This window comes from Homo sapiens, chromosome 7, assembly GCF_000001405.40.
Source record: "Homo sapiens chromosome 7, GRCh38.p14 Primary Assembly".
Classification (NCBI taxonomy): domain Eukaryota; kingdom Metazoa; phylum Chordata; class Mammalia; order Primates; family Hominidae; genus Homo; species Homo sapiens.
In genome coordinates this window covers 111,770,528-111,784,932 of record NC_000007.14, presented here as the reverse complement: position 1 = coordinate 111,784,932, position 14,405 = coordinate 111,770,528, and the positions used below count along the sequence as shown (strand labels likewise).

At 39.2% G+C, this 14,405-nt stretch overlaps 1 protein-coding gene across 14 annotated transcripts in view; it reads left to right on the top strand.

Annotated features, from left to right (window-relative positions):
• The window catches only part of DOCK4 (dedicator of cytokinesis 4), a 480,290-nt gene that overhangs the window by 421,467 nt on the left and 44,418 nt on the right, over window positions 1-14,405 (top strand). For 8 of the 14 annotated variants that reach the window (XM_006716189.3, NM_001363540.2, XM_017012825.2 and 5 more), the window contains exons 33-36: window positions 810-836; window positions 981-1,076; window positions 2,009-2,069; window positions 6,564-6,657. In XM_006716189.3, the coding sequence (XP_006716252.1) occupies window positions 810-836; window positions 981-1,076; window positions 2,009-2,069; window positions 6,564-6,657 (278 nt within the window). The remainder of the gene's footprint in view (window positions 1-809; window positions 837-980; window positions 1,077-2,008; window positions 2,070-6,563; window positions 6,658-14,405) is intronic. The other 6 variants (XM_047421081.1, NM_014705.4, XM_047421078.1 and 3 more) reach the window with 1 other exon arrangement.

The window sequence follows — 14,405 nt, the reverse complement described above, 5'->3', positions numbered from 1 at the left end:
TGTACTTGTAAGAAATGTTTTCTCTCTTATTCCTGAAACTAAGATGAAAGACAAATAAGATTTTAGACAGAAATGGCAATCATTAAATTTCAAGGGGTAGGGAAGTATCCACATATTGCCATGCTTAATGTTCTTGCTTTTATCTTTTGGGGGAAGTTCAATCATAAAGCCTTTGCCAAGTACACTGTTAATTTGCTGAGAGGTGGGAGTGAAAGTGACACAGATTGTAATTATCATGATTGTTATTATTTTGTGTTTACATAGTACCTGTGCTCCAAGGTGCTTAGGATTAGGGGAAATGTAGGAGGAGAGATGTGGTTCAGTACTTGTCATCAATCTGCTGTAACAACCACATGGAAAATCCTCTGTGATTAGTGACAAAATGAATGAAACTGTTGAGTGAGTGCACAGATAGTACAATATGTATTGAGTGGGCAAATGTTAAGTGAAAGGAAAAAACGCAAAACGTCATACCAGCTGTACAAGGATTTTCCTGTAGCAGTTGCATTGCAGTAAAATTGCTTGGATGAAGATGCATTCCACTGAGAGGTAGGAAAATATTTTTATGTGAATAAAGCAAGATCTTGCTTAAAAGTAAACTTGGAGGCACTCCTGTTTTTGCTTTTTGCAGTGTTATTTGATGTGGTAAGACGCAAGCCTCTGTTAGTGTAAGGGAGAAGCTAGGAAAAAATGTCTTTGAGCTGTGAGATGCTTGTATATTTTGAAAATATGATTATATGCATGTGTTTGTATTTTATGACTTGGATAATCTGAAAATCAATTTGCTTTGTCAATGCTTCCTGGATTAGAATTCCACTATTTGGTCCCTATCCTAGGTAAGACATTGTTTGCAAATTGTGCTACTTGTGAGATGTTGCAGTGGTTGCTAAGGCATTTAAGGTACTGATGAAAGTAAAGTGGTTGTCATGGTGACTGATAAAAATAAATGTTGAAAATGCCCCGGGTTCTTTCTTTTCCAGTCTACTAAAGAAAATTGAGCGGGAAACATGGCGGGAAAGTGGCGTTTCATTAATTGCTACTGTAACTCGTCTAATGGAGAGGTTGTTAGATTACAGGTAAGCCAAGTCGCATGTTTTTCTGAACTCCAGTTCATGCTGAACTCCAGTTAGAAAATCAAATAGAATACAATCAACGTTCCACTCTTGTGAATCACTCAATTGATTATCAGACCATGGAACCTGGTATACTAAGATAATGAACTTCTAACCAGCTGGTTCAGAGCTGTTAATTTGAGCTTTTGTTTGTTTTTTGTTGCTTTGTTTTGTTTTTTGATAGTTCTTTCAAAGTCTTGGTGAATTGAGAGGATTCTCGGAGTCCCTGAGAGTTCTCAAAAAAAAAAAAAATCTTTATTTTGGTATTTAGACTTAGCCCCTAGAACCAGTAGAACCAATCCATTTTAGGGTGAAAACAATGTAATGGAGAATTGTACAATCATGCTATTCTCTTAAATATTCTCTTAAAAAGGGGACGTGGGTGAGATGAAACTCACAGTGTCACCTTCCATAGACCTATGTTTTTTATTTTTATATTATCTAAACTGTTAAAGTAGTTAATCCCACTTAAATACATGGTAGTTTGGTTTTATTTTAGGAATGAAACCCTCATTCTCATTGTTAATGGCCAGGCTTACCAGCCACTTCTCACCCTACTGTAGGAAGTGTACAATAACACATTTTCACTCCTCTAACTTCCTGAGCCCATGTCCATTGAGAGGGAGCATAATCTTGACATGGCAATGAAATTCTTAACAGAAGCTGATGCTCAGGAGTCTCTGACTCCCCAGATTCCCTAGAGATTAGATTATCAGTCCTTGGAACATGTATCTAAATGAACGAACGCTTGCAATGCAAATTGCCTCTGGTCCCTAAAAGTGGCTTCTTTTTTTTTTTTTTTCTTTCTTTCTTTCTTTTTTTCCCCCAAAAAGAACAAACTGTGTTTGCCCCTAGGAAGGAAGTTCTGAGTTCTGACTATTGCTTTTTGTTTTTAGGGACTGCATGAAAATGGGAGAGGTAGATGGCAAAAAGATTGGCTGCACAGTTAGCCTTCTGGTTAGTAAACTATTCCCCTTTTTCTCCTTTTCTCCTAATACTTGTATTTTTTTCCCAGAAATACTATGTTTTGTTTGTGTTTAATCTGCAATGTGATGTTTCTTAGAAGAGTTATTTTTAAATTTACAAGTGTTTTTAAGAGAAGCATAGTGAGCTGCAGGTTAAATTAAAGTCCAGGAAATCCTCAGTCCCAGACATTACAAGGTGCATCCCCTGCATTCCCCACAGCCCTAATAGGAGACCCGTGTGGGATCCCAGAGTGATGCCATTGGGTTCCCCGGTTGCACTACTTCACCCTCCTAGAGTCTTGTTGCTGTCCTAGCAAAAAGCACTGTATCCCCTGTTAGAGGTCTTTCTACTTTGTGTAGCAATTTCTTTCTGTTCTTTTCCTTTCTCACAGAGTGATATGCAGTCCACATTTTGATAAATATTAGTGATCTCTTCTTTTGTGAACAAATGACAGTTTTCTATTTAACACCCTAATTTTTACTCTAGCTTTTTTGCAAATTGAATTCATAATAGCACTTTTGTTAAGGTTTGCTTTGTAACTAGGATGACCAAGCAGGACATTTTTGAGAGTAAAATTAAACATTCTGTAAGGATAACAGGCTAATCCAAAGCTGTCCTGGGCAAGCCAACATTTATATAAAATGTCACATAACTAACTATTAAATAGAATGGTATTCTTACCACAGAGCAAAGGAGTGGCCCTACATTTAGATGTTTATTTGTCATATTTTAATGTAAGTCAAATTAATGTTTTGGATAAGTTCCTTCAATCAGATCTGAAGTACAGGAAAATATAAAATACAAGAAAAGTCTAGTTCTATATTTGTGAATCTCATGGTTTCTTTTTCTTATATTTTGTAGAATAAATGAATCCTCGCCATCTATTACATTCTAAGTTCTTGCACAGTCATTCTTATCCTTACTCTGATCATTTGAGTTCCTCACATGCCATATAGTTCTCTATTTGCTTGCACCTTGAAATTCTTTTGCCCCTACTTTGATTTTGTCTTTTCTTAGCTCATCAGTTTCTTTTTGTTTTGTTTTGTTTTGTATTACTTTGTTTACTCCTGTCACAGTTCGTCTTCAAAGCTCAGGGCTTCTGCTTTCTTGTGACTGTCTTTTCATCTATTTTCCTCATGTCTTGCTGTACTGCTTCTCATCTCTGAGCCTATGATGGTATCCGTCTTTATCACACCCACTGCCTCCTCCACATTTTTAATCTAATTGTTACATCTCCACCTCCAATATCAGTCCCTAAAAATAGTGAGACCTAAGCATCCTCTATCAGGCCACATCTTGTTCACTTTCTTCCATAATGTTTTCATTAGACCCAACGGTAACCTGCAGGCCATTAGCCCACGCTCACTGGGTCAGACCATTGACCTCTGCTCTCAGTACTCATTTCTAACTTGAACATAGTCATTCCCTCTCTTAAATTTCCTAGTTGATTCTCCAGTTTCTCACCTGCTTTTGCCAGCCTCTCATCACAGTGAAGACCCTCAGCCTGAGTTTCTCCCACATTCGTGCTTGTATGTCAGTGTTGGGAGAAAAGCTAAGTGCTTGATAAGCTTTAGGTCTTCTCTGTCTTCTTAACTCTGGTTCTACCTCAACTCCAGGCACAAAGTCCCATAAATAACCTCAAAGCCTTTACCTTTCCCCAAAGTAATCCTCTCCATTCTTCCATCTTCTTTCTCAAGTACCTTCCATTTGGAGATGAGCAAATAAATATAGACCTTATGTTCATTTCCACAATTGGTATAAAAGAAGAGATCACTTCCTTGGATGAAAGAATTAATACTCTGCCTTTAATGTATTTACTCTAGTCTCCCAGTAGGAATACACCTGAGATTTAATATAGTATAATCAGTAGCCCCATTACTAACCACTTGAGACATTATCCTGATAGCTTTGCACTGACCAAGAATAGTCCTTCTAGAAAATTTTAACACTTTGAAAGCTCTACTTATTTCAAACTAGCACAAGAATACTTATTAAAGAAGCAAATCTATCACTTTGAAGCTAATCTTTTTAGCCTCTACTCCACATGGAAGGTTCTTGATTTTTTCTAGTAGCAATGTGGTTCTCTTCATTTACTCACTTCCTCTTAGAGACTTCTCTTAACTCTTTGAAAAAGTCAATTCCAGATTGTCTTCAGGAGAGCTGTGACATCCTTTACAAGATCGGGGTTAAATTGGTTTTAAAAAAGTAATATTTGACATGACTAATACTAGGAAATGTAATTATTGTTTTGTTCTTTGTGTCACACACTTTGTCAGACATTTGGAAGATTATCATCTGCTGACTGGAGGTATTTTTTTAAGAGAACTATTTATTTAGAGTGATTGCTTGTTTTGTTCTCAAAGCTGCTTCTTACCAGAAAGCTATTAGAGCAAATCATCCTTTAGTCATATAAAAACCTGCTGTGGAGTTGTTAGACTTGTGTTTATGATACAACAATTCTTGCTAATTAAAATGATTTTGGTTATAATAAGAGAGACGTGAATAGCATTATTTATTGAGCTTTTTAAAGAATGCCAAGATCTACAGGAGACAAGAATAAAAGAGGGAGGATAATGGTATAAATTGAAAAAAAAATTTATGATGCATTTGACTTAATATCAGTGTCTCAAAGTTAGAAGAGTCCTCAGACTGAAGAATGGACACCTGTTAGGTAATGGGCGGAAAGTACATTTGATAGCAGATCCTCAGGCTTCAAGCCCAAGTACCATTTCAACAGCCACATTTGCTAGATCGGTCCATTATTACCAAAGCCCTGTCTACTAATCAGCTTTAAAAAGTTTTTAGAATTCCTGGCCTTTCCTCTTAGAAAAGCCTATCACTCCTCCAAGTCAACAGATTTATTCCCTCATCACCGATTTCCCCTTCTTCCACACACCAACTAGCATCAATTAAAACAGTAACAATAAGTAGTAATAGTAGTTCAAGTGTCTCCAGCAGAGATTTCATAATGCACAATGATTTGTTCACTAAACATGTCTTGTTTGGAGACTCACAACATTATGCTTTTACTAGAATCCAACTTCATTTACATTCACTTTTATGTTGAATAAGTTCAGTGAGGACTCATGTGCTTTATAATGTGGTGAAGAAGTAGCTTTGGATGCTTATCAGTATGCCTTTAAAATGCCAGCCTGGGCCAGGATCAGTGGCTCATGCCTGATCCCAGTGGCATCAGCACTTTGGGAGGCCGAGGCAGGTGGATCAGTTGAGGTCAGGAGTTCGAGACTAGCCTGGGCATCATGGCAAAACCCCATCTCTACTAAAAATTCTTAGCTGGGTGTGGTGATGCACACCTGTAATCCCAGCTACTCAGGAGGCTGAGGCAGGAGAATCACTTGAACTCGGAAGGCGGAGGTTGCAGTCAGCTGAGATTGCACCACTGCACTCCAGCCTGGGTGACAGAGTGAGACTCTGTCTAAAAATAAAATAGCCAACATAATTTGTCCAGGTAAGTAAAAGTTGAGTTTTGGTAAAAACATTTTAGAGATATTTCCTAAGATCTAAATACTTCTTAGGAAACAAAATATTTTCAATAAACATGTTTCTGTAATAATAATTTGAAATAAAATCTCTTATTTGTCCCTTTATGTTTTGGACATAAACTGGAAACATTTGAAGTCCAACGCATAGGAAATGCAGAATAACATCTTAAAAATAAAGAGCCTTTTTATTTACCCTCTTTCCCATTCTTTTACATTGCTTTTACTCATCCTTACCTGTATGTCTTAGAGATTTTTGCTTTTTATTTTTTTTTTTTAGAGATTTTTATTTTTATTTTTTTAGACGGAGTCTTTCTCTGTCACCAGGCTGCAGTGCAGTGGCATGATCTTGGCTCACTGCAGCCTCCACCTCCTGGGTTCAAGCGATTCTCCTGCCTCAGCCTCCCAAGTAGCTGGGATTACAGGTGTGTGCCACCACACCCAGCTAATTTTTGTATTTTTAGTAGAGATGGGGTTTCACCATGTTGGCCAGGATGGTTTCAATCTCTTGACCTCGTGATCTGTCCACCTCGTCCTCCCAAAGTGCTGGGATTACAGGCATGAGCCACCGTGCCCAGCTGAGACTTTTTTCTTTAGAGCAAAATAGCTTTGAAATTTAAAATGAAAGAAACTGTCCTTTGAGTATCAATCGGCCAAGTTAAAAAATGGATTAATCTGTTACGTATTTTTAATATTTTTTAGTTGAACAGGCTGATTGTTCATTGACATTTAAACTAACAAAAAATCATAAAAAGTAAAGAAATGTGAATCAGGGATAAAAACCCAAGAAACCAACTTATCCAGTAATTGCTAGGAAATGACTGACACTGTCACTGAGCCACCTTATTTCATTTTTAGAGATATTTACATGGAAAAATGAATCCGTTCTCTTGGCTCCAGACATGGAACTTTAGCAGAGTAAAAGGCAGATAATTGTAGGCCAGATTGTTGAGGAACTATCCATACCTGTACTCTTTTTTTACAGAACTTCTATAAGACTGAACTGAACAAGGAGGAGATGTATATACGCTACATTCACAAACTCTATGATCTGCATCTCAAAGCACAGAACTTTACAGGTAATTCTGTCTTTTGGCTCAGATTGGGAAGGGAGCTGATGTATTAATCATGATCATTCCTCCGCTTTTTGTAATTAGAGTGGAAAGACTCAAGCATTTCTACTTTAAAATTAAAATTTATTTTTAATTGGATATATATTTCTGCAGATTCTATATATATCATATACATGATACATACATGTAGGTTGTTTGACTATTTCTCTTTGCATACTTTTTCAGAGGTTGCTCTGGGGATTACAAAATACATACATAACTTCTTACAGTCTGCTTATAGTTAGGATTTTACCACTTCAAGTTTGTATTAGTCTGTTTTCACACTGCTGATAAAGACATACCTGAGACTGGGTAATTTATAAAGAAAAAGAGGTTTAATTGACTTACAGTTCCACGTGGCTGGGGAGGCCTCACAATCATGGTGAAAGGCAAAAGACACATCTTACATGGCGGCAGACAAGAGAGAGTTTGTGTAGGGAAACTCTCCCTTATAAAAGCATCAGATCTTGTGACACTTATTCACTATTATGAGAGCAGCATGGGAAAGACCCTCCCCCATGATTCAATTACCTCCCACCTTGTCCCTCCCATGACATATGGGAGTTGTGGCAGCTACAATTGAAGATGAGATTTGGGTGGGGACACAGCCAAACCATATCAAAGTTAAATGTGGGAATTTTACAACTATATAGGTCTCATTATCCTCCCCACTGTATGTTGTAGTTGCCACATGTATTACATCTACATACATTGAAAGTCGCATCAGATGGTGTCATAATTTTTGCCTTTCAATAGTCAGACCTATTTTAATGAATTTAAGAGGATAAAAATACTTTATTTACTCAGATGTTTACCATTTCTATTATTCTTTCTTCATTCATGAAGTTCCCAGGTTCCTTCTGTTATAATATTTTTGTTGAGCCTGAAGATCTTGTTTTAGTATTTCTTTTAAAGCAGATCCAGTGGTGAAGAATCTTCTAAGTTTTCCTTCATCTAAGAATGTCTTTATTTCACCTTTATCCCTGAAGGATATGTTTACTGGATACAGTATTGTAGGTGAACAGTTCTTTTGTGTCTGTACTTTAAAAATATAATTCCACTGTGTTCTGACCTTCATGGTGTCTAGCAAGAAATATGCAGTCATTTAAATTACTCAAGTACAAGGCCAGACGTGGTGGCTCATGCCTGTAATCCCAGCACTTAGGGAGGCCAAGGCAGGTGGATCGCTTGAGCCCAGGAGTTACAGACCAGCGTGGAAAATGTGGCAAAACCCCCGTCTCCACCAAAAATTCAAAAAATTAGCCCGTCATGGTGGCACATGTCTGTAGTCCCAGCTACTCGGGAGGCTGAGGTGGATCACTTGAGCCTGGGAGGCAGAGGCTGCAGTGAGCCAAAATTGCACCACTGCACTCCACCCTGGAAGACAGAGCCCGACCCTGTCTCAAAAAATAATAAAAAGAAATTACTCACCTACATGAAGTTTGTAACATTTTTCTGGTTGTCTTCAGGACTTTATCTTTGGTTTTCAGTGGTTTGATTATTATATGTATGGGCATAGTTTTCCTGTTTAGTTTAACTTGTTTGGGTTTGCTGAGGTTCTTGGATCTGTACATTTATTTCCTTTACCAAATTCGGGAAGCTTCCAAGCATTATTTCCTTAAATATATTTCTCTACCAGTTCTTCTCCTCATTTTGAGGACTGTAATGGCATGAATGTTGGGCCTTTTGGTGTTGTACCATAGGTTCCTGGAACTCTGTTCATTTTTGTTCAACTTCTCTTCTTCCTTTGTTTTCAGATCACTAATGTCTATTGAGTTAAGTCCACTGATTTTCTTCTGTTGCTTCATTCAGCTATTGAGCCTTTCCAGTGAGACGTTTATTTTTGTTATTGTATTATTCAGTTCTAAAATTTCCATGTAGTTATTTTCTTTTTACAGCTTCAATTTCTTTGCAAAGAATGTCTATCTTTTTATTTATTCAAAAATGTTCACCTTTACTTCATGGAGCATGGTTATGATAACTGCTTCATAGTCTTTGTCTATAATTCTAACATCTGCATCAAATTGGGGTTGGCATCTTTTCATTGCTTTTGCCCTTTGAGAGTTGTTTAGTTTTTTAAAAGTCAGATAATTTTGGATTATATTCTAGACCTTTTGAATATTATGTTATAGGACTCTGGAGTCTGTTAAAATCTTTAGGAAGACATTAATTTTTTGAATTTTAACAGACAGAAGTCCTTGTTATATTGATCCATTGGTTTGTTCTACACTTGTGCACCTTGGAGATGAGTCTGACTTCATATGCAGAATTTAGTATCCCTTTCTTGAGCTCCCTCCCCTCTGTGATCCTCCCCATTCTTCCTTTCTCCCAAGAACTTCCTTTCCTAGTACTCTGGCTATATAGCCAAGGCTTGATCCTCTCTCTTCATGCCATGATGCACTCCCTGCAGTTGGTCTCTCTGTGGGCAAAGCAGTCAAAGAAAAGAACTGATAGAAGGCACTATTGCCACTGCCACTGCCACTGCCCCCACTGCCACCCCTACAGTGTGCAGCTTTGTTTCTGAGACTGAGTGAGGCCAGAAATGTCTACAGCGCTTCACCCCACAGGGGATCTTCTACCCAGTACTCCGACTAAAGGGACTTTTCTTGGAGCTTTTTCTGTCTGTTCCCATTTGCAGTTCCAGGAAACAGGGAAGTCTAAGCCAGGAGATGTGGAAGGCAAAAAACTAAAACAGAATTAACTGTGGTATGGTCATTCTTTGAGTATTCGTTTTTTTCCTCAGTCCATCTGCTCTTACTTTTCAGAGTCCTCCAATAGTTGTGTTATATAGTCTCTCCAGGCTGTTTAGTTGTAATCAGTGGGAGAGATAGGGTGGAATGCATGTACTCCATCTTAAGCAGAACCCTTTAATTAGATTTGGGAACCTCAAATCTTGGTCCTTTGCCACATTGTTCTTCCAAGGAACTCCTGAATCATGGCTCCTCCCCAACTTTAAAAGAGTAAGGGAATCCTTTATGAAATGGTACTTCTGTTCCCAGAATTTACTCATTCCTCTAGCTGAGGTTCCACTGTCTCAATTAGTAGCATCACTATTTACTCAGTCAGAAGACCCTGATGTATCTTTGACTTTTCTAGCCTCCCTCAAATAATCATTCATGAAGTTCTATTAATTCTGTTGCCTAGAAATCTTTCAAAACCATTTCCTTTTCACTGTTCCCACCTTTACTGCCTCAGTTAGACCATCATTTCTCACCTGTCTGCCTCTGAACTGTCAGCAGAGTTATTCTTTGGAACAGGAGTCAACAAACTACAACCTACAGGCTAGCTACCTTATTTTGTAAGGGAAGTTTTATAACAGCTCACCCGTGCCCACTTATTTGTGTATTGTGTATTGCTGCTTTTGCGCCACAGTGGCAGAACTGGGTAGTGGAGACAAAGACCACAGCCTAAATTATTTACGGTCTGGGCCTTTAAGAAAAAGTTTGCCAACTCCTTCCCTAGATATCACTCTGTTGTCAGTGTATGTGTTCTACAAAATAAACTTCAAATTCTTTATTCAAGGTCTGTTGTAATTGAACCAACGCTTGTCTGTTCAGCCTCATCTTACCACTTGTACCACATACCCTCCTTTCATCCTTCAGGATCAGCTCCTTCACCCTCTTTTCCATGCAGCCATCCCCCTCCTGAAGTTCTTTTTCTTCTCTTTCTCTCACCATCTCCATGCCCCACAATCCTTCTCCCATAGGCTAAGTGATTTCCCCGTCTCTTTTTTCCCATTGCATTTTTTCCAGATTTTTTTGTTTTGTTTTGCTTTTGAGACAGAGTCTCACTCTGTCGCCCAGGCTGGAGTGCAGTGGTGCAATCTCGGCCCACTGCAACTTCACCTCCCAGGTTCAAGCGATTCTCCTGCCTCAGACTCCTGAGCAGCTGAGATTACAGGTGCCTGCCACCATGCCCAGCTAAAGTTTTTTGTATTTTTAGTAGAGACGGGGTTTCACCACGTTGGCCAGGCTGATCTCGAACTTCTGGCCTCAGGTGATCCACCTGCCTCAGCCTCCGAAAGTGCTGGGATTATAGGAGTGAGCTACCATGTCCGGCCCCAGATTTCTATTAAAGTACCTATCAAACTGTTTTTTATTAATAATTGCATATTATATGGTTATATATTGTGTATGTACATGCATGCATGTATATATGGATAATCTTCAGTTAAGGAGTCCCTTGAGGACAGTAATATTTTCTTTTCTTTTCTTTTCTTTTTTTTTGAGACAAGGTTTGACTCTGTCACCCAGGCTGGAATGTAGTGGCACGATCTGGGCTCACTGCAGCCTCTGCCTCCCAAGCCCAAGCGATCCTCCCACCTCAGCCTCCCAGGTAGTTGGGACCACAGGCACATGCCACCACAGCCAGCTAATTTTTTTTTTTTTGGTAGGGACAGGGTTTTGCCATATTGCCCAGGCTAGTCTCGAACTCCTAAGCTCAGAAGATCCACCTGCTTTGGCCTTCCAAAGTGCTGGGATTACAGATGTGAGCTACCGCACCTGGCCCACAGTGATGTTTTTCTTATCTTTAGTCTTCTCAGTTCTTAGAATAGTGCCTAGCAATGTGAGATTTAAATAAATGCATCACAAGTTAATGTACCCTTTAATTAAACATTAACACCTGATAAGCAGATTTTCTTTCTCAATATTGGTAATTCTCGATTCAAAAAGAAAAAAAACAGTAAACTTTTTGAAAATTTTTAAAGTTCATAAAAAGAGAAATGCGGGAGGTAAGTGAGGATAAGCTACTCCAGATATATAACAGATATATTTTGGTTCTCTGAAATAAAGTCCAAATTTGTCTGATTATATTTCAAAACTGGGTTAATCTTTTTTCTTTAATTTGTTTACTCAACTTGCAGTCTTTATGTTCCCCAAAGTCATAAGAAATCAGTTCTTTTCCCATGTAACATTTTATTCTTCTCTCTTCTATCTTCATTTCTGTTCTTGGAGACAGTGAAATTGACAGGGAACTTTTCTATCTTTCTAGGATTCTGTTTAAGTGACTTAACCCTTTTCCAGCCTTTTGTGACAGCAGCCTCCATGCCTAACTCATCTCTACTCTTCTCTCTTATTTCTTTTTGCATATTGGTGTCCTTGTAATACACTTCTCAAAATGGTAGAATGGGATTAATAAAAATTTACTACTGCCTCCTCTAGACACAGTTTTTCTCAGATATGTGTTGTCATTTTCCCAAATCAAATTCTGAAACAGGTGTAATTTGTCTTCACATCTTTTCCATGCCATCGCTCAGTCATTTGTCAGTTTCATCTGATTGCCTGCCAGTGCCTTCTTTTCCCAGGCTTTCCCAGGGGCACCTGACCCACACCTGGCATTCCGCCCATCCCAGGACCTTCCAAGGGCAAGCTGATTGGGAAAGCATTTGGAGACTGGAGACCTTCATTGCTCTTTTTGTTTTTTGGGGGGTTTTGTTTTTGTTTTTGAGACGGAGTTTCACTCTTGTTGCCCAGGCTGGAGTGCAATGGCATGATCTCAGCTCACTGCAACCTCCATCTCCTGGGTTCAAGTGATTCACCTGCCTCAGCCTCCTGAGTAGCTGGGATTACAGGTGCCTGCCACCATGCTAGCTAATTTTTTGTATTTTTAGTAGAGACAGGGTTTCACTATGTCAGCCAGGCTGGTCTCGAACTACTGACCTCAGGCAATGCACCTGCCTTGGCCTCCCAAAGTGCTGGGATTACAGGTATGAACCACTGTGCCTGGCCTCTTTTTGTTTTTTAATTGTGCATAACATAAAATTTACCATCTTAACCATTTTTAAGTGTACAGTTCAGTGGTATTAAGTATAGTCACATTGTCGTGCTACCATTACCACCATCCACCGACAGAACTTTTCTTTTTTTTTGAGATGGGGGTCTCACTCTATCACCCAGATTGGTCTTGAACTCACATGATCCTCCTGACTCAGCCTCCCAAGTAGCTGGGACTACAGGCGTATGCCACCACACCTAGCTAATTTTAAAATACATTTTTTTAGAGACGAGGACTCACTGTGTTACCAAGGCTGATCTTAAACTCTTGGCCTCAGCCTCCTGAGTACCTGAGACTACAGGTGCAGAACTTTTCTCATCTTCCCAAACTGAAACTCTGTACCCATTAAACACTAACTCCCCATTCCTCTTACCCCTGGCAACAACTATTCTACTTTCTGTCTCTGTAAATTTGACTTTCATCGCCCTTGAAGTCATCACTGCCTGTGGGCAGCCGTGGGAAGGACATTCCTCAGTCTTCCTAATTCTTCGAAATGATCAGTTAGTCTCTGGGGTATTTTCTGAGTAGTCACATGCTGACAGAGACACAAAAGAAATTTGAGTGACAAAGAAGGTAACTCCTGAGCTGGGTCATTAAGAGAAAGTAGGAGTTATTTCAGCAAAGGGGGAAAGAAGGTCTTGCAGGCACAAGCTGTGAGGCCCTTAGGTGTGAATCAGAGAGGTATGTGAGAGGAAGCACAGCTTGTTCGGATGACAAGAGCAAAGAGTGTGGATGCAAGAACAAAAATATGCGTAGGGTTTCCTTAGATACTTAGCGTTTATTATAATGATACATGGGGAATTAAACATCAGGAAATCATCTCAGGGATGTCAGAGAAAACTAGATGCCTGTTAAAATAACAGCACCCTTCTGAGGATCTGGTTATTATAATTCTTGTGCAATCAGAGTAGTCTTCCATGGCTACCTATGTTATGGTGATTCAGCTCTGTGTCTGTGTCCGCCAGTTAACTGACACCCTTTAGTGGCTGCTTTCTCTGTCCATCTCACGTTCAATCCCATTAAGAAAGAGACCAGCAAGAGTGCATGCAACAGAAGGCATCACTGTCCCCGTCGGGCAGCTTTCTTGTGCCCAGCTGCCTCTGGACCACAATGCATCTTGCTCATTCCTGGAAAGTGGATAATGGGGTCCGGGGGCTCCAACTATGAGGACTGGAGCCTCAGCAGCTACTGAAGCTTCTTAAAAGAGATGGAGGTGGGCTCTTTCATACCTGTACTACATGGAGACCCAGTGAGAAAATGTGGATAGAGAGCTTGGTAAGAACCAGATCATGAGCAACCTTCTCTGTCACTGTAGGAGGCCTAAATTTATTGTTTGAGCTACTGAGAGTCATGGACTGGTTTTAACCATGATCATTTATTTGCATTGAAAGAAGTTCATATTGCTAACTGTGCAAACTGAATGGAGGGGGATAAGAGACTGCTGGTGGATTAGGAAAGCTTTCACAATAATAATTGAACCAGGAGATTGTATAAGCTCACCAAAGGTAATTGAAGAGAAAAAAGACCAGTGCCTGTGATAGGGGCCCTGGCCCTTCTTATTGCAACTATCTTTTTTACATGGAGATGGCCACATCATAGCATTATAACTCAGCATATTACTTTAGGGCTTTATGTGTAGTTACCCTAAAGGCAAATAAATGAAGAAAAGGAATTACCATTATTGATACCATCTTAAAAGCTATCATTATGTCTTTTGAGAAACCTGAGGTGGAGTTAAATGGATTAATAACATAAGTATTTGTCCATTTTATTCAATTGAGTAATTGAGTAGGCTATTATGACATTATAGGAAAAATTATTATAGTCCTTTATCAGTGACAATTCTGGTTCCTATTCTTGATCTATTGGGCTATATTTACAATTCAGGAAAAGGAGAGACCTGCAGAATGGCAAGTATCCTGTCAAATACACTATCTGCC